We start from the raw sequence: 26,502 nt of genomic DNA, 5'->3' as shown, positions 1-26,502 counted from the left end.
CCAAGGTGGGAGAATCATTTGAGGTCAGGAATCGAGGGCATCCTGGGCTACATAGTGAGATCCTGTCCCTAAAAAAAAATGTTTTAAACTAGCTGGGTGTGGTGGCACGTGTCTATAGTGAGCCTACTCAAGTGGATGAGACAGGAGCATCACTTGAGCCCAGGAAATCAAGCCTGCAGTGAGCTATGATCATGCTACTTCACTCTAACCTGGGTGACAGAGTGAGACCCTGTTTCTTAAAAATAAAGACTTGAAAAGCACAGATAACAAAAGAAAAAGCAAATATAATTATATCCTACTAAAAAGAGTTTAAATACAAAATGAAAATACTGAGTGAAAAGACAACCTAAACAATGTGAGAAAATATTTGCAAACTATACATATGAAAAGGTGTTAATATCTAGATCATATAAGAAGCTTTAAGATTTCAAGATAATACAAACATATAACCGAATTTTAAAATGTGTGGAAGACCTTACTAGACATTCTCAAAAGAAGAAATACAAATGGCCAACAGGTACATAAAAAATGCTCAAAATCATTAATCAGACAGGAAATGCAAATCCAAACCCAGTGGGACCCCCTCACTCCAGTTTCAATGGGTATAATCAAAAAGACAAAACATAATAACAAAAATGTGTTGGTGAGGAGGTGAAGAATAGGAATGTATAAACACTGTTGGTGGAATTATAAATTAGTATAGCCACTATAGAAAATGGTATGAAGATTCCTCAAAAAATCATCAAACATAGAGGTACCATACGATCCAGCAATTCCACTACTGGGTATATATCCCCAAAGAAAGGAAATCAGAGTTTGACAAAGATATCTGCATTCCCATGTTTATTGCAGCACTATTTATAATAGCCAAGATATAAAACCAATTCAAGTGTATAGCAGCAGATAAATAATGAAAATGTGCTGTACGTACATACTATTAAATACTTTTCGGCCATTAAAAAAGAATAAAATCCTGTCATTTGAAACAACATGGATGGACTTGGAGAATCTCATGTTAAGTGAAATAAGCCATATGTAGAAAAGCAAATACTTTGTCTACCAATGTCTGGCCGCAGGCTGCCTTCGTCAGCTCCCGAGCTCACCCAGAGCTCACACCCACCTGCTAGACACTGCAGAGCCTCCTCATCAGCTCCCATGGCAAGCAAGATGATATGAGAGGTGATGTCGGCCATCAGCAAAGCAGAAGGCCCCCTGGGAGGAAGTGGGAGCCATGGGTCCGGCTCCCCTTCACAGCCAGACGCAGTTTCATATTTTGAACAATTGATGGTCTGCATGCTAGAAGAAAGAGGCTGTCTTCTTAACACACTGAGATTCCAGAAATGCTGGCACTAACCCAGGGGAAATCACACGAGGTTGGTCATGAAAGAGATTCCTTGCAGAGACAGCTCAACACTCCACCTCCACAGGAGTTCACGGCACTTACTAAAGAAGTCAATGTATGCAGGGAACAGCTCCTTGAAAGGAAAGAAGAAACTGCTGAAAAATGAAAGCAGAAAGGAACACCACCAGGCTACTATTAGAGCATTTGGAATGCCCTGTCTCCAGGCATGAGCGGTATCTCAGGATGACAGTGATGAAGAAACAAGTGCAGTCTCCAGCAGGCATGTCCAGCGAAGCTGAAGTGCTGAAAGCACTGAAGTCATTATCTGAACAGCACAAAGCTCTGGATGAAAAGGTGAGAGCGCGATTATGAGCAGCACTTGAAAGATGTAGTTTGTTAGAAGAAGAATTAGGTGTCACACACAAAGAGCTAATGATTCTTAAACAACAGAATAGTCAGAAAAAAAAAACACTAACAGGTGGAGTGCTTAACATAAACCATGAACAAGAAAATACATCAAACATGAACGGAAAGAGATCTTCTGATGGTTCTTCAAGCTATAAGGAAGACCTTGCTAAAGTAAGTGTGGTCCAAGAAATCATAAACAGTCAAGGGAGCACAGCCAAATGAAAGAGCACCTGGCTGCCCTCTCCAGTCATGTGACAGAGCTGGAAGAGGATCTGAAAGATTTTCCTCAAATCTAGAAAAGATTTCATCAAATTTGAAGAAATGAACTCCAAATTGCAAGAAGATGTCCATAAAGCCATGGCCCAAAAGGAAGACATGAAGAGAGAATCACTACTTTTGAAAAATGTGACCTTGCTGGTCGACCTTAGACATTGCCCTTGGCCAAGTGGCAGGCTTGCTGATCATGGTCCTGGCTACAGAAAAAAACTTGCCACATCCCACTGTAGACTTAGCTATAACCCACTTGGCCTTTGTCCTGTCACTAGGACCATCTGCCAAGAACAGAGGACAACTTATACCCACCTAAGTCTTAGGTGACATACATGCAGAATTTGGTCCTGTCTGTGACACATGAATCAGGCAAAACCCACCTTCTTCACCTCTCACCCATGGTCTGGAAAAAAAGTCCTGCCCACACAGAGATTCTCAGGGAAAAAAATCTATCTGTGGTTCTATATATAGGACCATCAACAATTATCTGAATGTGGACCTGAAGTGGCACTGTAACCTGGCTCCAGCTGCATGCAGCCACAGTTCAGGAGCAGTTATGCTTAACCTGAGACATCCCTGAAGGCACACACATCTGTGCCCATAAAGGCATGACTGCTAACATTAGTCTCATTGTGAATCTTAAAGCAGCTCTGTAACCTAGGTGACTTGGGTGCTGCTAAAGGTATTCAGTTTTATAAGGGAAGCAAACCATAAAAGTTCAGAAAATTTGCAGCCTAACAATGCGATAGAAAAGAAAATCCCATTTTCTGAGAAGAAATTCAGGCCAGCTGCAGATATTTCCATAAGTAATGAAGAGCCGAATGTTAATCACCAAGATAATGGGGAAAATGTCTCCAGGGCATGTCAGAAGTCTTCATGGCAGCCCCTCCCATCACAGGCCCAGAGGCATAGGAGGAAAAGGTGGTTTCCTGGGTCAGGCCCAGGGTCCCCATGCTGCCTGCAGCCTAGGGACTTGGTGCCCTGCATCCCAGCGGCTCCAGCAGTGGCTGAAAGGGGCCAATACAGAGCTCAGGCTGTGGCTTCAGAGGGTGCAAGCCCCAAGCCTTGGCAGCTTTCACGTGGTGTTGAGCCTGTGAGTGTACAGAAGTCGAGGATTGGGGTTTGGGAACCCCCGTTTAGATTTCAGAGGATACACAGAAATGCCTGGATGCCCAGGCAGAAGTTTGCTGCAGGGGCAGGGAGAACCTCTGCTAGGGCAGTGCAGAAGGGAAATGTGGAATTGGAGCCCCCACACAGAGTCCCTACTTGGGCACAGCCTAGTGGAGCTGTGAGAAGAGGGCCACTGTCCTCCAGACCCCAGAATAGTAGATACACTGACAGCTTGCACTGGACACCTGAAAAAGCTGCAGACACTCAATGCCAGCCAGTAAAAGCGGCCAGGAGGGTGGCTATACCCTGCAAAGCCACAGGGGCAGAGCTGCCCAAGGCTGTAAGAGCCCACCTCTTGCATCAGCATGACCTGGATGTGAGACATGGAGTCAAAGGAGATCATCTTGGAGCTTTAAGATTTGACTGCCCTGCTGGATTTTGGACTTGCATGGGGCTTATAGCCCCTTTGTTTTGGCCAATTTCTCCCATTTGAAATGGCTACCCAATGCCTGCACCCCCAATGTATCTAGGAAGTAACCAACTTGCTTTTGATTTTACAGGCTCACAGGCAGAAGGGACTTGCCTTGTCTCAGATGAGACTCTGGACTGTGGACATTTGAGTTAATGCTGAAATTAGTTAGGACTTTGGGGGACTATTGGGAAGGCATGATTGTGTTTTGAAATGTGAGGACATGAGATTTGGGAGAGGCCAGGGGCGGAATGATATGGTTTGGCTGTGTCCCCACCCAAATCTTATCTTCAATTCCCATGTGTTGTGGGAGGGACCTGGTCGGAGGTAACTGAATCATGGGGGCAGGTCTTTCCTGTGCTAATCTTGTGACAATGAATAAGTCTCAGGAGATCTGATGGTTTTATAAAGGGGAGTTTATCTGCACAAGCTCCCTCTCTTTTTGCCTGCTGCCATCCATGTAAGATGTGACTTGCTCCTCCTCGCCTTCCACTGTGATTGTGAGGCCTCCCCAGCCACGTGGAACTGTAAGTCCATTAAACCTCTTTCTTTTGTAAATTACCCAGTCTTGGGTATGTCTTTATCAGCAGTGTGAGGACAGACTAATACACCATCCAAGACCACCTCAGCCTGGATTTTGTTGTCCGTATCATTATCAGCATTTTGGTCAAAACCATTCAACAAGTCTCTAGGGAGTTCCAAACTTTCCCACATTTTCCTGTCTTCTTCTGAGCCCTCCAAACTGTTCTAATCTCTGCCTGCTACCCAGTTCCAAAGTTGCTTCCATATTTTCAGGTATCTATCTTTTCAGCAGCACCTCACTCTACTGGTACCAATTTACTGTATTACTCCGTTTTCATAACTGCTGATAAAGACACAGCCAAGACTGGGCAATTTATAAAAGAAAGAGGTTTAGTGGACTCACAGTTCCACATGGCTGAGGAGGCCTCACAATCATGGTGGAAGGTGAAAGGCACATCTCACATGGCAGCAGACAAGAGAAGAGAGCCTGTGCAGGGAAACTCTCCTTTATAAAACCATCAGATCTCGTGAGACTTATTCACTATCACAAGAATAGCACAGGAAAGACCCGCCCCATCATTCAATTACCTCCCATTGGGTCCCTCCCACAGCATGTGGGAATTGTGGAAGCTACAATTCAAGATGAGATTTGGGTGGGGACACAGCCAAACCATATCAAATGCTAATGAAAAACACACAAAAAATTAAAAGTATAAATGTCACTGGAAATGGTAAATACATAGTGAAATTCAGAATACACTAATACCATAACGTTAGTGTACAAATCACTTTTAACTCTAGTATAAAAGCTACAAAATAAAAGCATTAAAATAAGTATACCTACAATAATTTGTTAATGAATACACAGTATAAAAAGTTATAAAGTATAACATATACAGTAATAAAATGTGTGAAAGGGAGAAAAACTGTGGAGTTTTTTTCTATGGATAGATGTTAAATTGTTATCATCTTAAACTAGACTGTTACAAATATAAGATATTTTATCTAAGTCTCCTGATAACCTCTAGGAAAAAACTGTAGTAGATACACAAATGGAAAAAGCCATCAAAACATAAAAACAACAAAAACAAATCCAAAAATTAACAGAAGACAGCATGAGAAAAAAAGAAACTATAAAACAGAAAACAATAAAACTGTAATAGTAAATCCTTATGTATCAATAATTACTTTACATATAAAGAGATTAAATTATCCAATAAACAGATACTGGTATAGACTGAATGTCACCTCCAAAATTTAGGATAAAATTTAATAGCCATTGTGATGGAATTAAGAGGTGGGATCTTTAAGAAGTGGTTAGGCCATTGGGACTCTGCCCTCATGAATTAATGTCCTTATGGGAGTGTGTTAGTTATCACAAAAGTGAGTCTGTTATAAAAGGGAGCTCTCTTCTCCCTCAGGCCTTTGGCCATGTTACTATGCAGCAAAAAGGCCTTCACCAGATAACAATGTCGTTTTCTTTGCCTTCCAAGCTCCTGGAATCATGAGCCAAATAAACTACCCCTGTTTATAAATTAGCCAATCTGTGGTATTCTATTATAGAAAACAAAACAGACTAGAATAAACACAGAGTGGCTAAATGAATTTTTTTAAACTAACAGTATGCTGCTTACAAGAGACTCACTTTTGATTTAAGGACAAACATAAACTTAAAGAATAGAAACCACAGTGCATGCAAACAACAACCAAAAATCAGGAGTGGTTGTTGGTTATATTAGACAAAACAGACTTCCATGCAAAAATCTGTCACAAGAGGAAAGGAGTTCACTACATGATGATAAAGAAGTTAATTTGTTAAGAGGATATAGAAACTAAAACTATGTATGCACCCAACACTGGAGCACCCAAATATATAAAGCAAACATTAACATACCTGTGGTGAGAAAACGAAATGCAATAACAGGGAACTTCAATGTCCTATTTACAACAAAGCATGGAATATTTAGAGAGAAAACTAATAAAAAAAAAGAGTTCACCTGTATAACACCATAAACTAAATAGACAATATTTTATCAAACAGTATGAGAATACACATTCTTCTCAAGAATACATGGAATATTCTCCAGGATAGATCATATGTTAAACCAAAAATAGAAAACAAGTCTTTTTAAATTTAGGATTAAAATTATATCAAGTTTTTTATCATAATGGTGTAAAACTAGAAAATCAACAGCAGGAGGAAAACTAGAAAGCTCACAAATGTGTGTGATACAGTGTGGATGTTTAGTCTCCCACCACAAAACTCATGTTGAAAAGTAATCCCCATTCTTGAAGGTGGAACCTAATATGGGGTGTCTGAATAATAGGGGCAGATCCCTCAAGAATTCTTTGGTGCTGTCCTTGATAGTGAGATGTTATGAGATCTGGTTGTTTAAAAGTGTGTAGCACCTCCCAACTTAGTCTGGTGCTCCTGCTCTTGCCATGTGACTGCCTGTTCTACCTTTACCAATTCCCCTGATTGCAAACTTACTGAGGCCCTCGCCAGAAGCCAAGCAGATGCTGGTGCCATGCTTCTGTACAGACTGCAGAACTGTAGACCAATTAAATCTCTTTTCTTTATAGAATAGACTAATACAGTGTTGACATTAAACAACATGCTTCTGAACAACCATGAAATCAAAAGGGAAATAAAAAATTGTCTTGATACAAATGAAATTGGAAACACAAGAAACCAAAACTTCTGAGATGTAACAAAAGCAGTTCTAAGACAGAAGTATAAAATGATAAAGTTCTACAATAAGGAAAACAAAGATCTCAAATAAGCAATCTAACTGTAATCCTCAAGGAGCTTGATCAAGAAGAACAAAATAATCCCAGTGTTGGCATAATTATGGAAATAATAAAAATTAGAGCAAAGAGAGAGAGAGACTAGAAAAATAAAAAATATCAAAAAACTGAGTCATTAAAAAAAAACAAAATGAACAAACTTTTCCTAGATTATCCAAGGGAAAAAAAAAGAGAGAGGACTCAAAAAGCTATTAATGAAAAAGCAGTCATTCCAGCTGATATCACAGAAAGAAAAAAAATAAGAAACTATTATGAACAATTACATAACAAAAAAAGATAACTTAGAAGAAATTGATTCTTAGAAAGAACACCACACTGTGAAGAAACAGAAATACCCAAAAGACTAATAATGAGAAAGAAGACAGAAATACTCAGAAATCTTCCAATTTAAAAAAAATCCCATGACCAAATGACTTCATGGGTAAACTGTATCAAGCATTTAAAAAAGCAATGTCAACACTTTTCAAACTCTTCCAAAAAACTGAAAGAAAAAAGCACTTTCAAACTCATTTTATGAGACCACCAACATCTCATACTGAAGCCAGATAAGGACACTACAAAAAAGTAACAAAACAATATTCCTTATAAAGATACAAGCAAAAATTCTCAACAAAATACTAGATACCAAATTCAAAAACACATTAAAAGGATCAGACATCATTATCAAGTAGGATTTATCCCTGAGATGCAAGAATGTTTTAACATACACAATTTAAATGATATACCACAATAACAAAAAGATGAAAATCATATAATCCTCTCAAAAAATTTATTAAAAGCCTATAACAGAAGTAAATACATTTTCATAATAAAAACTCCAAACAACATACATACAAAAGTATCCATCTCAACAGAGTAAACAGTGAAATGCTGAAAGTTTCCTCTAGTATCAGAAACAAGACAGAGGTGCCCAATCTCAACACTTCTATTCAACATAGTAGTGAGAAATCAAGCCAGAACAATTAGGTAAGAAAAAGAAACAAAAAGGCATTCAAATCAGGAATAAAGAAGTAAAATTCTCACTGTTTACAGATGAAGTGATTTGAAGATACAGAAAACCATAAAGACTATACCAAACAAACAAAAAATAGAGCTAATATATCCATTCAGTAAAGTTGAGGCCACAAAAATATACAAAAATTAGTAGCATTTCCATATACTAACAATAAACTGAGAAAAAAGTTACAAAAAAATCTGATTTATAATAGTATCAAAAATTTTTTTTAAATTTTATAACTTCATTTAACAAAAGAAGTGAAAGATCTGTCCAGTAAAATCTATAAAACACTGATGAAAGTAATTGAAAAAGACACAAATGGAAAAATATCCCTTCTTCATGGATTGGAAAAAATATTGCTAAAATGTCCATACTTCACAAAATGATTCACAGATCCAATGAAATCTGTATTGACATTTTAATGGCATTTTTCACAGAAATAGAAAAAATTATAAAACTTCAATGGAATCACAAATAACTCCAAATAGCCCATGCAATCTTGAAAAAGAAGAATAAAGCTAGAGGCATCACACTTCTTCATTTCAAACTATTACACAGCTATACTAATCAAGAGTATGGTACTGACGTAAAAACAGACACATAGACCAATGGAATAGAATACAAAAACCAGAAAGAAACCCATGTGCATACAGTCAACTATTACTTTGACAAGGGCACCAAGATACACAAAGGGGAAGTATAGTCTCTTCAACAAATAATGCTGAAAGAAAGTAGTCATCTGCAAAAGAATAAAATTTACTTATACTATGTACAAAAATTAACTCAAAAGAATTAACACTTAAATGCAAAACCAGAAACTGTATAACTTCTAGAACAAAGCATAAGGAAAAATCTCTTTGACACTGGCCTTGGCAATAATTTTTCTGGCTATCACATCAAAAAATCACAAGCAACAAAAAGCAAAAAATAAAAACAAGTAGCATTAAATGAAACAAAAAAGTGTATGCACAGCAAACACAGAACATGAAAAAGCGACCCAGGGACTGGGAGAAAATAGATCTGATAAGAGTTTTATATCCAAAATATTAAGAATCTCACACAATTCGATAGCAAAAAAAAAAAAAAAAGTAAATCTGACAAAAATTTGCAAAGGACTCAAGTAGACATTTCTCAAAATATGACATGGAAGTGGCAAACAAGTTTATAAAAAGGTTCTCAATGTTATTATTCATCAGGAAAATGCAAGTAAAACCATAATAAGATATCATCTCACACTTGTTAGTATAACTGCTGTCAAAGAGTCAATAAATAAATATTCACACTTGTTAGAATGACTGCTGTCAGAGTCAAGAAATATTAAGAGTCAGAGTGTGGAGAAAAGAAAACCCTTGTACACTGTCAGTGGAAATGTAAATTGATTCAGCCATTATGAAAAATGGCACGAAGGCACCTCAAAAAAAATTAAAAATAGTATTATATGAACCTTCAATGCTACTTCTAATTGTATAACCAAAGGAAATAAAATCATATGTCAAAGATATATCTGTACCCCTATGTTCATAGCCAATTATTCACAATATATAGAATATTATTCAGACATAATGAAGAAGGTACTGCAATTTCTGACAACATGGATGAATAAACAAGGTAGACATTATGGTAACAAGTACAAACTTTCATTTACAAGATAAATTCTGAATATCTAATGTACAGCATTGTAAATATAGTTAATGATACTCTACAGTAGCAGTACCCAACCTTTTCAGCAGCAGGGACCAGTTTTATGGAAAACAATTTTTCCATGGATGGAGGTCGAGTCGGGGGTGGTTTTGGGATGAAGCTGTTTTACCTCAGATCATCAGGCATTAGATAGATTCTCATAAAAAGCACACAACCTAGATCTTTTGCATGCACAGTTCACAAAAGGGTTCACACTCCTATGAGAATCAAATGCTGCTGCTGATCTGAGAGGAGGCAGCGATCAGGCAGTAATGCTTGCTGGCCCAATGGTCACACCTCCTGCTGTGTGATCGGATTCCTCACAGGCCACAGACCAGTACTATAGACCCCTGCACTACAGTATACTTGAGATTTGTTAACAGTGTACATCTTAAGAGTTCTCACCACACACACAAAAATTGGCATCTAATGTGAGATGACTGATGTGGTAATTAACTTTGCTGTGTTAGTCATTACACAATGTGTATGTATATCAAATCATCAAGATGTAACCTTTAAATAGATAATATTTATATTGTGGAAAGAATCATATGTCTAGAAAGAAAAAAAAGGAACTAAAGGACACATTCTCAGTAAGCTTCATACTGAACCAGACAAAATTATAGAATGATAGTTATTAAGATACAAGGCAACAGTTTAGAGTTTATTATATACTGGACAATGTTCTAAGCTCCCCATAGACAAAAATTTAGATAAGAAGTCTATATAATAAGTAATACACATTAAACTATTTTACATTTGTGGAATTTGTGCCTATAGAGTTTAAATTTCTCATCTTAGTTCAGGTGAGAAAAAATGAGAAGTTGAAGTGAAACATAAGATTAGATTTTCTTAGATTTGGGAAGATGCCTTGTATTTTCATAAAATTACTGCATCTTAATTTCTATAGGATCACCTTGGAAACCACAATACGATTAAAAATTAATGTATCAGAAAATATGTGACATCTATCCACAGAATTCCTGAGACTTCTGAAAAAAATTCCACTGTCCATCACTCTCCTCACACACTTCTGACATGAGGCAAAACCAGAACTTTAGAAGTGGTTTCACATAGAGGTAGAAACATGCACAGACTTTCCCAGAGCCCCCAAATCAATGGAAGAACAGTCAGATCAAGCAGGCCCTCACAGGCCAAGGGGAGCACTTTGGCTGTCACTGTGAATATGATGGCGGATCACAGAAGAGGAAGGAGAATCATCAGATAATTCAAGAGCATGGGACAGAAGATGTCCCTCTTTGACAGCAAGGGAAAGAAATAAAGCCAGGTGTCTCAAAAATCATTTCCACTGGAGAACTTCCCAATCCACACTTCAAGGTCTGGTTCTTTCTTGACTTCTGGACCTCTCGCCCATGTCATCTACTTCATTCGCTCCCACCTACCTGGCTGGATGGCTACTGTCTCCTCACTCTTCACATTCCAAGGCTCTTTCCTTTGTTCCAAAAAGGTGATCAGGTCCGGCTTAGAGACAACAAGACCTGTTTTATTGGAAAAATTCACATGACTCTTAATGAGGGTTCTTTTTATTTTTTATTTTTATACTTTTTTTTGGCCCCACAGGACAGGATTAATTTCTAACTTAGTACTGTGCTCAGTAGAAAAAATAAGACATTATAGAAGATTCTTGAAAAGTATTTCTCAAAATATTGTTTCCTACCAGCTTCTTTAGAATATTTAGGAAGCATTTTAAATCTGGGGATCCTGAGCTTCTGCAAATCTGACTGAATCAAAAACAAACAAAAAAAATTGGATTTTAAAGTGTAAGCAACAATAGTTTATGTCAACCAATTTCTAGAATCACGACTAGAGTGAAACTTGTACATCACCTCAAATAAAAAGGCGAATGTCAAAATCAAACATTATGAAATTTTTTCTACTTCAACAAAACCCCTATTTTTTTCCTGAAAACAAGAATCTAAAACTAACTCATACAAAGCACAAGATCCCAAGGGACATTCTGAAAAGAAAATAAAACTCTTAGTTATTAGATATTCCGAAGGCAAGTTATCCTCACCCAGAGAGACCAGGTTTCTGTAGTTTTCTAACATCACATCCTGATACAAATTCTTCTGAGCTGGTTCCAGGTGTTCCCACTCCTCCAAAGAGAATTCTACGGCCACATCCCTGAATGTCAACAGTCCCTGAAATAAAAATAAAGAATACACTGACCATGTGGCCATGGCAGAGTTCTTCATTTGTCCCAAGATGAAATGACAGTTATTGGTTCTGACATATATGAGTGACCTGAATTATTCAGTAAGATCATTTTTAACACAGTAATATTTTCTAATGTAGTCTCAAACTCTGTGGAAAGAAAATAACATAAAATCCACAAAACTAGTGTAGATATTTATATCAAATGTAAAATATAAAACTAAGGCATCAACACAGGAATATACATTTTTGGGTGCTATATTTACATCATCCAGAATCAGCTGTGTATAATTCTCAGGTGCAAAAGTCATGGTGACTTAGAGGCATACTTCTCAAATTGTATAGTATACAACAATAAACTGGAGATCTTCTTCAAAGGCAGAGTCTGATTCAGGAGATCTAGATTTTGAGTTTCTGCATTTCCATATTTTTTAATTTTTAATTTTGACACAGGGTCTCGCTCTGCCACCCAGGCTGGAGTGCAGTGGTTGAATCTTGGCTCACTGCAGCCTCAACCTCCTGGGCTCAGGCGATCCTCCTGTTTCAGCCTCCTGAGTAGCTAAGGCTACAGGCATGAGCCACCATGGCTGGCTGAGTATCTGCATGTCTAACAAGTTCACCAGTAGTGTTAATGCTTCAGGCCCCAAAGCCACTTTTGAATAGCAGAGAGGTCGAACACTGAGGAAAGAATTCAGGCATGATGTGAAACTGAGAGTTTTATGAAATTTACAAGTTATAACAGCTAGAATGGTAGTAATCCTTTTTGAACATGCACAATATATCAGATATCATCCTAAAAGTTGTTTACATATATAAAACCCAATAAATAATCTGAGAAAAATTATATTCTTCCTCTTATATAAAAATTATTTTCCAAATATTTGCTACATAGTAGTTTGTATTTTGCCTCAGTTTATCTGATTTAGAATTTATCTCAAAGGGACATACCGGCCAATATACAGAGACAACCTTAACAGAATGTTCAGAGAAGATTTCGTAACTGAGTAACGAAAACAAGAAAGCAGCCACACAATAGTGATCGAATAATGCTTTCATTTTATGTGCATATGTGCACATAATGGTAACTATATACACACTAAAAGTAAGATAATATTTCTGTGTAAATAAAATTTAAAAATATTTTAAATTGTATAAAAACTATAAAACTCTTTGTGGGTGATGCCTTTTTTGTGATGCCTTTATAAAGACCAATACATACAATGAAATAAAGTAAAGGCTCTTGTTTCTGAGTCTGGTATTTTTTTTCAAGTTTTTGTTATGTTTATTCTATGTGCTATTATATATTTTAGAATTTTAAGACAATAGACATATTTGTTATATGTTAATTCTTGTTCTTTCTCTGAAAATATAGAGAATAAATAAGCATATGCTTGTGACATGAGATGAAATAAAATGGAAACCTACAGAACTGAGACCTGCTTCAGAACTTCCAGTCTTAAAAGCTGTTATCTCCTGTCAACAAATGTGAGAGCCTTTACTCTGCAAAGAAAGCTACAAGCAAAGGGAAACCAAAAAGAAATGGGAGTCTCTGGATTAAATGTGATGGTTTATAGACATCACTCAGTAAATCCTCCCTCCTAGATACTCATTACAAAGAGAAAAATGATTAACTTTATAGCGAAGGAATCTGACAGAGAGCACCTGCACCAAGTGAATGAAGTTAGCATCGTCTGTAATAAGACAAATTGGTACCAGTGCTAATGCACAGATGGGCCCATAATCATTGCTGTGATATGGGCGGAGGGGAACAGTAAATCATAATCTTAATATAATCATAAAAAAACAATCTGTGGGGGAAGATACAGGTGACCATAGATCTTCAAACTGGTTATGTGACCCTACTTAGAAGCCTGGGCTGAGAATCACTTAGCTAAGCATTGCCTCTCAAGGTTCAATACGCATACATATCATTTGGTATTCTGGGCCCCCTCTAAGTAATGTGATTCTGCAGGTTTGGAAAGTTTCCATGAACTGGCTTCTTTAACAAGTCCCCTGTCAATGCTGATGTTGCTCCTCCTAGACCCATTATCAATAGCACTCAGCTAGAGGAAGCAGACACAGCACAGAGTCCCTTACGCCCAATACTCTAATCACAACAAAAATACTTTTCGTTCACAGTGAGGACCACCAACCACTGTCCTGAAAGATCACACCCTTTGCCAGCCATTTAAAGTCTACAGATACAGAGACTGGAGAAGACAGTTATGTCTAAGTCAGCATTTGGAAAACAGCACGGATACATGCATTAAAGCAGTGTTTATTGAGCTTGTACTATGTGCTCACAGTATGTACTGTGCTGGGAACATCACATGGTGTGAGTTAAGCCATATAAACCCCTGGGATATGGGTCCTAAGTATCCCATAATTCCCAGCAGGATTTAGATAATGGCTCAGCCTTTCTATTTCTTCTTGTTTCCCTATCACTATAAAAGCTAACTATAGACAGATGGGAGGGATACAGAAAGGAAGGAGTCAAGTTTAGTTCACAAGAATTTCTCCACTGGGCACGGTGGCTCACGCCTGTAATCCCAGCACTTTGGGAAGCCAAGATGGGTGTTATCACTTGAGGTCAGGAGTTCAAGATCAGCCTGGTCAACATTGTGAAACCCTGTCTCTACTAAAAATACAAAAATCAGCTGTGCATGGTGGCACACCTATAATCCCAGCTACTCGGGAGGCTGAGGCAGGAGAATCATCTGAACCGGGAAGGCAGAAGTTGTGTGAGCCGAGATGACACTATTCCAGCCTAGGCAACAGAGTGAGATTCGGTCTCAAAAAAAAAAAAAAAAAAAAGAAGAAGAAAAAGAATTTCTCATTATTCTCTTTATATCTTTATACTGACTTTGTGACAACTTGTGAAGCAACTACTGGATCTGCAGAAATGAAAAAGATGTTGCCAGGTGGAATGTTTCTAAAGGTACTGGTTTCAATAAGAAAAAAATTTAATTTTCAAATAATTTTGAAAAAGTGAGTCCTGTGCTCCCATTTACCTGCTTTTGGGTTTGGGGAAATTGTGAGCACCACCTCTGAAGAGATGGCAGCAGCGGCCACCCAGAAATCTGATCTCCTCTAGTCAGTTCTGTGAGGGGAGGCTCCAGGGTAGGGACAGACCTGGACCAGGCTCAGAAGAGGCTGGATTTGGGCAGAGCTGGGGCAGGGGCTGGGCTAGGCTTCTCATCTCTACATTGCTGCTTTATTTTCAGCTGTCTTTCCTAAGCCTGACCAACAAGAACTTGACTCCCATGGTTTGCCTTGTTTAAATAGTTTAAGCTTCATCCTATTTTGTAACATGCAACAAGCAATTTAACCAAAACATGTAGGGCTTTCTACGAAAATTATATTAGTAGCTACATAATTATCTTTAACAAGAAAAAATCAATATAAATAATAATTATAATAACAACTCTTTTGTCCACGGGTGGCCCTTCGGGTGGTGACATCAGAATTCACAACGTCAACATAAGGGCAGTGTCCCAAATCAAGCCCAAGTTCCCTGTACACCTCCATTCTTGCTCCTGACCACATGATGTTGAATTCAACCATTATCCGTCTGCTTTAGACTGAAAGTTCCTGGATGGTAGGGACTATGGCTGCTGCATCTGTTTTCCTAGTGGCCATATGAAATGGAAGCAATTGGTTTACCTATCAGTATGAGTCTCCAGAACTCCTCCTTGTATTTCACCCACACATTAGAAAACTGGAGCAACTCCCACTTGGATACCAAATAAGGAGATTCCTTCTGTTAAAAAAGAAACAAACCCTGATGACTCATTCTTCTCCCTCTGAGACGGAAGCAAGATTAGCCCGTTGTCAGCCTGTCCCCTGCCTGCACAGGATATATAACCAAGTGTCCCCTAGGTGCTGGTAAGAGAGTCCCTGGTAACTGTGTGATGAAAACCCAATAGTGATTCAGGCAGGAAAGACTCAAGTTGTCCTTGTGGAACCAGAATAGAAAATTGAGTTGTCATAGTAGGGCCACAGATCCAGGATCCAGATATGTTATTACCTATACCTGATCAGCTGACTCTTGGGTACAAGAAAGGACAAGATTACCCTACTCCAGTAACACAGCTCACAGGTAGGCATAGCTTTACTCATGGCTCTGGACAGTGGTGGCCCCACCCTCCCTCTGCTAAGGTGCTGCTTTACACTTACAGATTCTGCCACGAGATTCTGTTTATAAAAAGGAACCACTCACAGAACTGCTGTAGCTCACTGGACAAGGTCTTGAAAACTCTGAGGGCCTCACTCCAAAAGTAGGGCTTTACAAAGTCCATGTTGATCTCTCACAATGCAGAAAATGTCCCCTGGATTTTCTATATATCCTGAGTCCAAAGTCTGGCCCTGTCTTGTGGATCCCAGGTGGAGACCAGCCTTTATGTGCAGACCCCAGGTGGAATCAACCTGGCTCTGCAATTCTTGTGTATTGCTGTGAAGAAAACTAGAGGAGACAGCCCTTCAGGAAGGCTGCTCTCACACATCCTGGAGAACCTCAGGACCTGGGTTCAGAATTCACAGCTGCAGATTTAGGTGCTGGTGGCGCAGGGAAGTGGCATGCACCTTCTGCACATTCATGGGCATTTGGGCAAGAGGATGAAGGGAATGTTGAGATTCTCCGGCCTGCTCAATGTATGTGTGTGCCTGGTTGGTTTCCAGCCCCCATGGTCTCTGAATCAGTTTCAGGTCTGAAGATGCCAGGGGCATGGAAAGACAGAGCTGGAATGGCTAACTGATGCCCTGTAAACTTATTTTTATAGAAATCTAGTCAAACTATTCTAGAAGCGACTGAAGATCCCAAGTAAGCAGAAAGACCATTCTGCCTGCAGATTTTCGGGGCAATGGGCACTTTGCTGCACAAATGTGGGTTGTGAACAGAAATCAAAGAGGGAAAGGACCCACTGGAGTGAAGTCTTACAGGCATCGTACAGGTTTATATTCTGTGTAGTAATTCTGGGCAATGTTTGAAAAATATAATGAAGAAGAAAATCATAAAATCATCTCCAACCCCAGAAAAACTATCCATAGTGGTAGAAAAGAAAGAAAACTGTTTTATGACATAATTAGCCCAGAATGTAAAGGAATGATAGGCAACCTGCTAAGAGATTAGAAAAATACCCACTGGTGAAAAGTCACCATAATTAGTCCTCAATAGAAGACCTGACAGCACCATTTGTCAGAGAGAGTTCATCCTAAATTCACCTGGGAATTGGGAGGCCATCTGTGTTTTTTAATTGGCTATAGTCAAAGGAAAAATAAACTTCATGTCTTTATGACAGGCAGATTTGCAACTTGGAGCCAGGTGCCTGCCCTCCTAGAGAAACTGTAGGATATGGATCTATCTTCTTTGCTATTTACATTTTATATCAATGATTCCCAGTTCCTAGAGAAAGGCAGTACTGAGTCAAAAAGACTGACAAATGGCCTATTTAGCTGTTAAGAGTGATTTAGACAGGTTGTAAAACAGAAAAATAATTTACATATGAAAGTTTTCCAAAGTAAATGCTTTAAGAAAAAAAAAAAGAAAAATTTCTTTCCTTATTTTCAAGAAGGATTAAGTCTTGTATTTCTAATTTGTATTTGCTCTTACAACAGCCAGATCTAGCGCCATGGTCTTGAGCTCACAGACATCTGAGTTCCAATAGGTGCTGGATTCAGGCACCTGTGGGGTGACCTTGGGAACACCGTGTACACATAAAGAAGGGGCTTGTGGGGAAGTAAAAGGCAGAAGAGAGGAAGGTGCTATTGAGCCATGAGCAGGGGGCAGTACCAAGTTGGTGGAAGGACTGGTTTGTGCTACAGATACTGGCCCAGGTGGGACTATGCTCTGACATATCCCTGGGTCCACGCAGGCAGATGAGATTATGATTGGATGGTCCACAAGCCTAGGTTGATGGAGAAACTAGGCTGCTGCTACGGATTCAGTGTCTGGGATTACAACAAGCCAGGAGTCCTCAGGCACTTGTGTGGGTTTTTGGCAGGAAACCGGAAGCAAAGGTGCTGTGGGTGCAATTCCTGACAGTCAAGCCTTCTCCTGGGATGGACGGGGACATGTCAATGCCTAGTTGGTATGTTCAGGAGTGGGTGGGAATCATGTGGTGGCAGCTGGGTCGGGGAGGGGGTCTCTTCTCAGAACTCCTTTCCTCTCAGTGTTCAGTCCCTTCTCACCCTAGCAGGAGACCTGGAATCAAAGGACAATGCACAGTGGGGCAGCCTGTGTGCAGAACACAGCCTCTCTTCCCACAGACACTTGGGAGTCTCTCTCCAGCCCAGGCCTCTGTGAGGTCTGTCTTCTGACATCAAATGTGTAGAGTTTGCTGAACACCAACCAATCCTCCAACATCAACTGGGTGCCAAAAACTTAATTCTGACACCACGCAGAGTCAGCGCAGGCCCCACAAGTTCTCGGCTCAGTCCCACAACACTGCCCCCACTTCAGATGCCAGTCACAATGCCTGGGGCCCTATCTATACTTCCAAGCTACTGCCTGTAAATCGAGGGCACCCATAACCCTATCCTTAAGTTCAATCATTTCAAAGATCTACTCAAATAACTCAGCAAATCACTTTACTTATGTTTATCAGGTTATCATAAGGATATAGTTCAGAACAGCCAAATGAGATAAATACATACAGGGCAAAAAAAAAAGTAGTGGGAAAAAATAGGAACAGTAACCTGGTAAATAGCTGTGATTAAAGAAATCCCCCATCTTTTGTGTTTTCCAAGAACAGCCTACTGCAAAAAACAACCCTATTATGACTTCGATGATGCTCCCTGATTTAGTCATCACAAAGCCACAGACTCTCCAAATTCCCCTTCTGACTCAGCTGAACAGCTCTGTCTTCAGTGTTCAGAATAAACTACTTAACAAAACTTTGTATTTTTCTCCAGGTTGCTGGACTTTGACACACTCACAGCCTGGTCAACATTCAACCCCTCCCTAAGCCCCTCCTAAGAACAGGCTGACATCAGAGTGAAACATTCTCTGATCTCGAATCTGATTTTGGCACCTTAATCCTGCCCTTCCCCTCCTACCTTCTGAGCTTGTTTGCTCCTCCCTGTGAAAGAAAGTCTTTGTCTGCCTAACCTTTGAGATCCACAAAGATCTTACAGCTGTTGCTTTCCCCCTATTGCAATACTCCTTTAGAATTAAGGAACTTCTTACCTAAACCTGAATTTGTTTTATTTGACAAAATCAAATAAAATGTGGGGAAGGAACTGGAAACTTAATATTTTACTGCAAGCCTCAGTCTGGGGGAACACAGTGGTAGATTTGAGACTCTGCGTGCCACACATTAGGAAAACACAGGGGGAAAACCAGTTGTCGGGTGGGGGGAGTGTTAAAATGATTAATGAGTAGGCGACTATATGGAAGTGGTTGTAGTGCCCTGGGTTTCTGGGAAGAAAAACCAAAATCAGGACAATCACAATTTCTACCCTCAGAAAGAGCCTCCCAACCCTCCTTCCATCCCAACCCCAAATGCCTCTTTCTGTGGATTTTCAGCTTTCAGCTTTCCAGGGCTCTGTAGCTTCTCAGTATAAAGGGCTCCTTCCATGGATGGGGTGAGCAGGCTGGGAAACCTGCAGGGGAAACTCCCCTGGAAGAACTAACTGGGCTTCAGTGACCTCTTCTTGCAGGCTCAAGACCAGGTTAGTTTGCACTCTCTGAGCTCAGGCTTCTGCTTCCCAGTCAGGGTTATTCAATTAGTATTCAATGAGAATGCCCAGTGTTGGAAGAAAGCAAAACTACTCAAACAGTGTTTATAGAATAAAGGAAAGTGAAACGCCTTTATAATTTATACCTCAACAGAAAACACTAAAGTATCTATCCCTTTCAGACAATAAATAGGCCACTTACTTATTTCCATGATAACAGATCATTTAGTAAATAATCATATATAAACAATTCTAGCCAGTGCTACGTTCAGCATTAAAGCCATACATCCAAGGCCAGGCATGGTGGCTCATGCCTGTTATCCCAGCACTTTGGGAGGCCAAGGCGGGAGGATCACTTGAGCCCAGGAGTTTGAGACCACTCTGGGGGCAACACAGTGAGACCCACATCTTTACAAAAAGAAAAAACAAAATAGCCAGCCATGGCGCAGCACCCCTGTAAGTCCCATCTACTTGGAAGGCTGAGGTGGGAGGATCACTTGAGCCCAGGAGGTTGAGTGAGCTGTGATCACACCACTGCACTTCAGTCTGGGTGACAGAGGAGAGATCCTGTCTCCAAAAACAAAAAATAAAAAATAAACTCAACATCCAGACAAGAGGATAAAGAACAAAGATATCCACTGTCATAACTTCTTCACCCTACAAAAAAAAGAAACTGATGTTTTGATGAAACTATGTAATTCACCAATTTACCACACGTTGTTGTGAAAATGTATTCACTTTCTACAGCCAATAATGAAAGAAAGATTTTCTCTGTTTCTTTTCCCTGGCAGCATTTCCAAAAGGTGAGCCCTGAGATTCTGTTTTAAATTACTCCCAAAAAAAGAACAAACCTGAGAAACTTACTACACTCATTCTGCTGAAAAAAAAGATAGTAAGAATTTTTAACAATGAAGTATGACTTGATATTTTAATTTTCTGAAATCCACCTTTCATGGCCTTGGAAATGTTTTTTATCTTTCAAGCTCTACTGATGAAATTTACACTAACTGAAAAACTGAAGTAGAAATAAATGAACAATCTAAGGCAGCAAACTCAGGGAGTGGTAATGCTGTTGGAATACAGACATATCTGGCTCAAGTGTCAAGTCAGGTCACGGTATCATTTGAGACATTCTCCTACCCCAATACTGCTCATTAAAATGCTCAGGGACCATCCTCCCAGATCCTGCACTGTGCCCCATGGACACCGCAGCCGAGTTTGCACCACCTCACTGGGGTGGGGTTTTTGTTTTTTGGTCCTTTGGGAGTTTTTCTCCCTTCACAAATCTGAATGAATCTAGGGGGCAGGAATCATTTGTGACTGTTTCCCCTCAATACCAGCAAACGATTGGCTGACCAGCAATGTGTCTCCAAGGGATGAAAACTAGCTTTGAAGAAATAAAATCCTTATGTCCCAAGGGGTTATCTTTTTAGGTTAAGGGTGTCCCAGGAGATTTCTCTCAGCCCCAGGGCATCCAGCTGCTCCCCTGAGGGACTACATTTCCATACCTTGGGCGGTCCTCTAACAGGAGGTGACCTGGGGCTGACAGTCACTAAACACTCCAGGAGACATGGCCACTGTGGGCATCTTGAGTCATCCCAGACAGTTCTGAAATTCAGGAACAGGAAAAGACTGGATAGAGGGTGGCTATACAGGGCCCTGTAAAGTTTCCAAAGCAAAACCTCAAGTCAAAAGACATTCTTTCCGATAACGTGTCTGTGCCTGGGGAAGATGAATGAAAAAGAGGCACAGTTTTTTTTGCAGTGGAGTGTCAGGGATTTTTTATTCTCTGCTTTCCTCTCACGTGAAATGTATGCCAAAAAAACACAAATCTTTAAAAAAGTGTCATCCACTGCTCTGTGAAATCATGATTAATGAGTAAAATACTGTCTGAAATGTACAATAAATGACCAATAGTTAAGAATGTGAACTGGAGAGGGGAAGTTGGCCTTTGGAAATGTCGGGAAGGAACTGGAAATTTAATATTTTATTGCAAGCCCAGTTAGACTGGGGGAACACAGTGGTGGACTTGAGACTCTGCGTGCTACACGTTAGGAAAGCGCAGGGGGAAAACCAGTTCCCCTGGGCAGTGTTAAGATGATTAATGAGCAGGCGATTATACGGAAGTGGTTATAGTGCCCCAGGTTTCTAGGGAGAAAAACCAAAACCAAACTCAAATGCTTTTCTTGTAAATTACAACTTTAGGGGAAAACAAAATTCAGACTTAACGAACCACAAAGCTCCAATTCACCTCCACCTGCATAGTCTAAATAAGGCAACTACAAACTGTAACCCATCGGTTAATTTGGTCTGCTTCCTCATGCACCTTATAAAAACCTTTCCTTCAAGCCCCTCTGGGGATCTCCGAACCACAAACCAGGACTGCAGGCTTCCCATGTCACAAATCGCTATTTGCTCAAATTCTTCAACGTTTTAACAGTGACTCCCTTTAATTCTTAAGAGGAGTAGTGACTGAGGACCCCACAGGGCACGGTTTCTTCCCACACACCGAACCTGGGTCTCCCCTGAGACGCTCCCGTCCTCACCGCACAATCTGGGGGAGACGCGGGGCTGCGACGCGGAGCTGCCCAGAGAGGGCTCCGGCCAGGGACGAGGTCGCTCTGCGGGGTCGGGATGGGACAGGACACGCGGGGTCCCGGCTGCCGGCCTGGCCGCCATCTTGCAGCGGAGGGGACCGAGGGCCGAGCTGCACCAGTTGGGACTCGGGGCCCAGACCCCGAGGCTGACTGCGGGGAGGCCCGGGTGCCCCTACAGCGGGTTCCCGCCGCTTCCGACCACCGCCCTCCCTCCCTCTGGGGACCCCCGACCCCGCACACTCACCATTTCCCAGCTTCCGGGATGCCCTGGCGTCTTAGCTACGAATCTCCCAGTGCCTGCAAGTCGCAGAGCAACAGAGGTTCTGTTTATTCTCAGAACGCGAAGCCGCCTGGGCCTCCCAGAACGAAAGACTCGGAGCTGTGGCGAGGAGACCCGAGCTCTAACTGGAGCCGACGAAGGCCCCCGCCAAATCCCGGAAGCCGCCCCTGCTCTCCGGCTTCACTCCTGATTGGACGGTTTCCACTCCAGCGCCCCTGATTGGATAAAGCTCCATGCCCCGCCCCCTCATTATTAGTGCCTTTTTTTTTTTTTTTTTTGAAAGGGAGACTGGCTCATTGAGGTGGGGCCGCCTGCTGCGGGTATTACAGCTAATTAAGGGGTGAGCTGCGACTTGAAATACACTTGCTCTTTCCCTTACCTGGTTCTGCTTGTATAAGACATCTTATTAGCTAATTAAGTTTAAGAAGAAGTATATTTAGACACCTTTAAAGCAAGAAAGACCCTCATCCCGTCCCTTAGCACCTCTCTTACCGCACTGTACCCCACTGCTAACGCCACCGTGGGAGGGGGCCCCTCAGCTGGGAACAGAAGGCCGTACACTTCATTCACGTGTTTTCAATTAGGCCCTCGCATGATACATAGACTGAACCAGTGCAAAAGCATCTTATAGGGGCATGCAGGCTGGGGTCCCAGGAGGATGTTGCGGGCCGTGGTGGAACGTGGAAGAGGGGCTGGCCTATTCTTCTAATCTACAACTCTGCCCGCATCTCCTGGAGTCTGCATCACTGGTAACGGGGCCGCTGACTGTCCGTCTGTCTCTCCTTCTCAATCCCTTCAAGCTCAGGGAAGAAGGGTCCTTGGCAGCGACAGGGCTGGGAGCTCAGTTCCTCTGGGCCGTGCTGGCTCAGGCTCTGTGGCCACGGACTCCTCAGCCCTACCTCTGGTTTTTGCTTTTGTTTTGAGACAGGGTCTCACTCTATTGCCCAGGCTGGTGCAGTGGTGCAGTCATGGCTCACTGCAGCCTCCGGGGCTCAAGCAATCTTCCCACCTCAGCCTCCTGAGTAGCTGGGACTACAGGCACATGCCACCATGCCCGGCTGATTTTTGTATTTTTTGTAGAGATGAGGTTTCACCATGTTGCCCAGGCTGGTCTCCATCTCCTGAGCTCAAGCGATCCTCCCACCTTAGCCTCCCAAGTAACTGGGGCTACAGGTTAATAGTCAGTTCGCCAACTCCTGAGCTCAAGTATTCTGTCTGCTTTGACCTGCCAGAATGCCCTATTCCTGTTTTTCTGGAGTCTTGGAGCTAGTGGCGCTGCAGCACCTCGTAGTCTTCCGGCTGAGTAGATTCTCCTAGTCTTCTGGCTGAGTAGAAGGTGGGAGAGGAGGTGGGTGTCAAACTGGGCCAGGGCCCTCGGCCGCCATCTAGCTTGGTTAAACTCCCACTTGGGACAGATCAGGCTCTGTGCCTTATTCAGTGAGACGTGTGGAACAAATGCTTCCCTCCCCAAAGCAGAAACATCCCTGATTGCTGACAGTCAGGATTCCATGCACTTGTCTTGGCCTGGGGCATGGCTGCCTCTCACCCTCTCACCCAGTTCTAGTCGCTGCACTCTGTGGCCTCCCTGCCACCAGATTAGGTGTAGACAACGGGTGTGGGACAGGGCTGCTGACACCACTGGCTGACCAAACCCCTTTCCCACACTGAAGGGAGAAAAGACAGGAGGTTAGGGGCTCCCAAAGGCAGCACTGCTTGTGACAGCACCACGGGAGTCCTTAGGGCCTACTAAGGGGCTGGGCTGGAACTCAGGATCAACTCTGCCTGACTCCAAAGCCCATGCACCTCCATGGACCTCACAACTCAAGCAGCTTCCCTAGGCCTTTGAAATCCTGGAGATTGACTCTTTTGCGATAGAAGAAAGATTCCTTTTGATTCTCATCCTTCTAGTACTCTTCACAATTGGAAATAATCCCCACCAGAGAATGCTTCTGAAATGTCTTGGAAACATGTAGAATAATTTGGGAAAATGGCTGAAGGCTGAGTTTAAGAAATCAAGGCCTAACATTCTATTTTTCATTTCTTATAGGAGAGATTTGAAAGCACTTATAATGGACTCAATGTGTCTGCAAATTATTTTTGTCCCCTTTCAGTATTTGTAAGCTGTTGATGATTTTCAATACAGATTAACTCAAACTACTGTGACTGAAACAATCTTTTACTCTGAAAGCAAGAGATACAAAGGTATATCTGCTGAGAAGACATTTTTTTCTGCCACAATTTAGCCAAACAGCTGAGTACGTCTTAAAGTCAGCCTTTGATTTCTAACAAGTCAAGCTATTTGCCAAGACCACAGTCAGACCATATGACTTAACTACTTCATTGTCCCAGAATGTTGACCAGACAGATCGAAGCTCTGGGGGTGGAGTGGTGAGAGGACCCACGCTAGCAGGTGGGCAGCCATGGGTCCATATGTGAGAATCACTCATTAGGTGGGGTGTTTTGAGGTCCTGATATTTATGACACAATTAATGTGTATATTACTAAAAGTAAATTATAGAACATTACAAATAATAAATCTATATATAAACTAAACATGTCAGCAATTACAACTACTGTTATTTATCATTATTCTAAGTGTGATCATCATTATTACCACAATTAGAAATAGTAGTTGTGGATGCTGCTGCTGCTGCTGTTGCTGGAGGGATGGTGATAAAAACAGCGAGTAAGGCTCTGCTGCCTCCTTCACCTGCGGCATCGGGAGCTGCTGGCTCACTAGTTTGGTGCACACTCTGGACTTCTTTGGTGAAGCTGCAGCTGAAGAGCCTTCAGGCTCCGCTATGGCAGAATTTGAAGGTGGCAGGTAGGATGGTCCCAGGATGCAGTTGATGTTGAAGAGGTGCACACCACTTAGTGAATGAGTGAAAGCCTTTGGTGAAAGGCAGAGTTTCTACATGACACAGATCAGATTCCATTTTGACTGGGGCCAATCAGTGAAACAGACACATCTGCAGAACTGGAAATGGAGGACAAAGATTCAGTTGATGTGTTCCAGAAGCAGACAGGAGGGTCTACTGAGAACATACTCACTGCTTTACTCCAGAACTCTGTTTCTACAGACCAAGCAGACATTCTCACGTAGAAAATTGCAATATGTTTCCATCACATCTACTGGTCCAGCATCCCTTTCTCTCTTCTTCACTTTCCTGTTCCTCATTCCTTTATTGTACATAAATTATCGGGCGTAGCTGTACAAACATATTGATAATTTTTGTTTGCTTGTTTGTTTGTACTGAATGAACAACGATCATTGATTTCCAATGGCCATTGAGTCATTGGTGTTGAGTGATTTCCAATGAAGACAGCTGAGGGAAAACACTGTTTCTGTGAAAAAGACTCTCTTTCTCCACCAGGGACTGCTCACTCACTGTTTATCTCTATATTCCAGGACTTTAACAACAACAGTATAAAAAATATAGTGATCCTTTAGGTTTGTTGGGGGCAGGAAAAAAAAAGGGGGAATAACCTTTGCATACATTGTTCAATTAGAAAATTTTATTTTTAAAAATATATCATTGTAACGCTAAGAACAATTTTATAACTTTTTAAATGTAGCGGTTACACATAGAACAAATCTGTCCTCACACAGGACTAAGTGACAATTAAAAGAACAGAACGGATTCCAGATATGTTCTTCTTCAAATCCAGGATCTGGTTGTTTAAATACACATCTTGTGTAAAATGAAAAGAAAACATTTAATATATAAATAAAAACAGGAAGTAAAGTTTCTCTAGCCACCAAGTGTGTTGGTTGGACTGAAAATGAGGAAGAAGGGGTTTCCGTCTGCAATAAGTTTGAAGTCCCCCCAGGAGCCAGGGAACTGCCCACACCCTCTAAGGCTGCCCCCTCCTCTTCTGCCTGGAGCAGGGTGCCTGTGAGATTTCCATGCCCTGACCCAGGAGGTACATGGAGGGTGAGAGGTTGTCTGTCTCACACCCAGGCAGACATCCCTGGTCCAGGGCCCTCTGGAAGATATTCCCAGGGTCTCCGTAGGCTGCCAGGGTCACACCCTTCCAGAAAAGTTATATAGGTAAATTAACCCAAGAAGGGGTCAGTCCATGGGTGATACCAAGCCACATTGCACCCTGGATAGAGGGCAACACATCTCATGCAACTGCAAACTACAGTAAAGCTCTATCTGCTGACAA

At 41.3% G+C, this 26,502-nt stretch overlaps 1 protein-coding gene and 1 pseudogene across 3 annotated transcripts in view, besides 6 other annotated features; one reads left to right on the top strand and one right to left on the bottom strand.

Moving 5' to 3' along the window:
• Positions 1 to 22,459, bottom strand: part of ZNF267 (zinc finger protein 267) — a 43,551-nt gene extending 21,092 nt beyond the window's left edge. The window contains exons 1-4 of one of the 3 annotated variants that reach the window (NR_049749.2): positions 22,297 to 22,459; positions 11,642 to 11,768; positions 11,010 to 11,105; positions 6,016 to 6,059 (exon numbers count right to left, since the gene is read on the bottom strand). Coding sequence is in view for 2 of the 3 variants with exons in the window: in NM_003414.6 (NP_003405.4) it covers positions 11,010 to 11,105; positions 11,642 to 11,768; positions 22,297 to 22,299 (226 nt within the window). In the remaining variant the exon portion in view is untranslated. Of the gene's footprint in view, positions 1 to 6,015; positions 6,060 to 11,009; positions 11,106 to 11,641; positions 11,769 to 20,963; positions 21,115 to 22,296 lie in introns of all 3 variants that reach the window. The other 2 variants (NM_001265588.2, NM_003414.6) reach the window with 2 other exon arrangements.
• On the top strand, positions 1,069 to 2,167 carry LOC100422713 (PPFI scaffold protein A1 pseudogene; annotated as a pseudogene).
• Positions 15,722 to 16,222: an enhancer, noted in NCBI's record as "H3K27ac hESC enhancer chr16:31891365-31891865 (GRCh37/hg19 assembly coordinates)". NCBI's record gives its function as "activates a minimal SCP1, AML or CMV promoter by ChIP-STARR-seq in naive H9 embryonic stem cells {active_cell/tissue: H9 hESC(naive)}" and the evidence as "EXISTENCE:reporter gene assay evidence [ECO:0000049][PMID:30033119]".
• Positions 17,675 to 18,874: an enhancer, noted in NCBI's record as "P300/CBP strongly-dependent group 1 enhancer chr16:31888713-31889912 (GRCh37/hg19 assembly coordinates)". NCBI's record gives its function as "activates an origin of replication core promoter dependent on BRD2, BRD4, P300/CBP, MED14 and CDK7 cofactors, with strong dependence on P300/CBP, by STARR-seq in HCT116 cells {active_cell/tissue: HCT116}" and the evidence as "EXISTENCE:reporter gene assay evidence [ECO:0000049][PMID:35650434]".
• Positions 18,383 to 18,672: an enhancer, noted in NCBI's record as "active region_10769". NCBI's record gives its function as "activates an Ori minimal core promoter by ATAC-STARR-seq in GM12878 lymphoblastoid cells {active_cell/tissue: GM12878}" and the evidence as "EXISTENCE:reporter gene assay evidence [ECO:0000049][PMID:35858748]".
• Positions 22,178 to 22,257: a silencer, noted in NCBI's record as "silent region_7429". NCBI's record gives its function as "represses an Ori minimal core promoter by ATAC-STARR-seq in GM12878 lymphoblastoid cells {active_cell/tissue: GM12878}" and the evidence as "EXISTENCE:reporter gene assay evidence [ECO:0000049][PMID:35858748]".
• Positions 22,344 to 22,638: an enhancer, noted in NCBI's record as "tiled region #3948; HepG2 Activating DNase unmatched - State 1:Tss, and K562 Activating DNase matched - State 1:Tss". NCBI's record gives its function as "activates a minimal TATA promoter and a strong SV40 promoter by Sharpr-MPRA in HepG2 and K562 cells {active_cell/tissue: HepG2 | K562}" and the evidence as "EXISTENCE:reporter gene assay evidence [ECO:0000049][PMID:27701403]".
• Positions 22,408 to 22,457: a silencer, noted in NCBI's record as "silent region_7428". NCBI's record gives its function as "represses an Ori minimal core promoter by ATAC-STARR-seq in GM12878 lymphoblastoid cells {active_cell/tissue: GM12878}" and the evidence as "EXISTENCE:reporter gene assay evidence [ECO:0000049][PMID:35858748]".

Source organism: Homo sapiens, chromosome 16, assembly GCF_000001405.40.
Source record: "Homo sapiens chromosome 16, GRCh38.p14 Primary Assembly".
Taxonomy (NCBI): domain Eukaryota; kingdom Metazoa; phylum Chordata; class Mammalia; order Primates; family Hominidae; genus Homo; species Homo sapiens.
The sequence above is the reverse complement of the archived record's forward strand: the minus strand, read 5'-3'. Positions and strand labels throughout refer to the sequence as shown.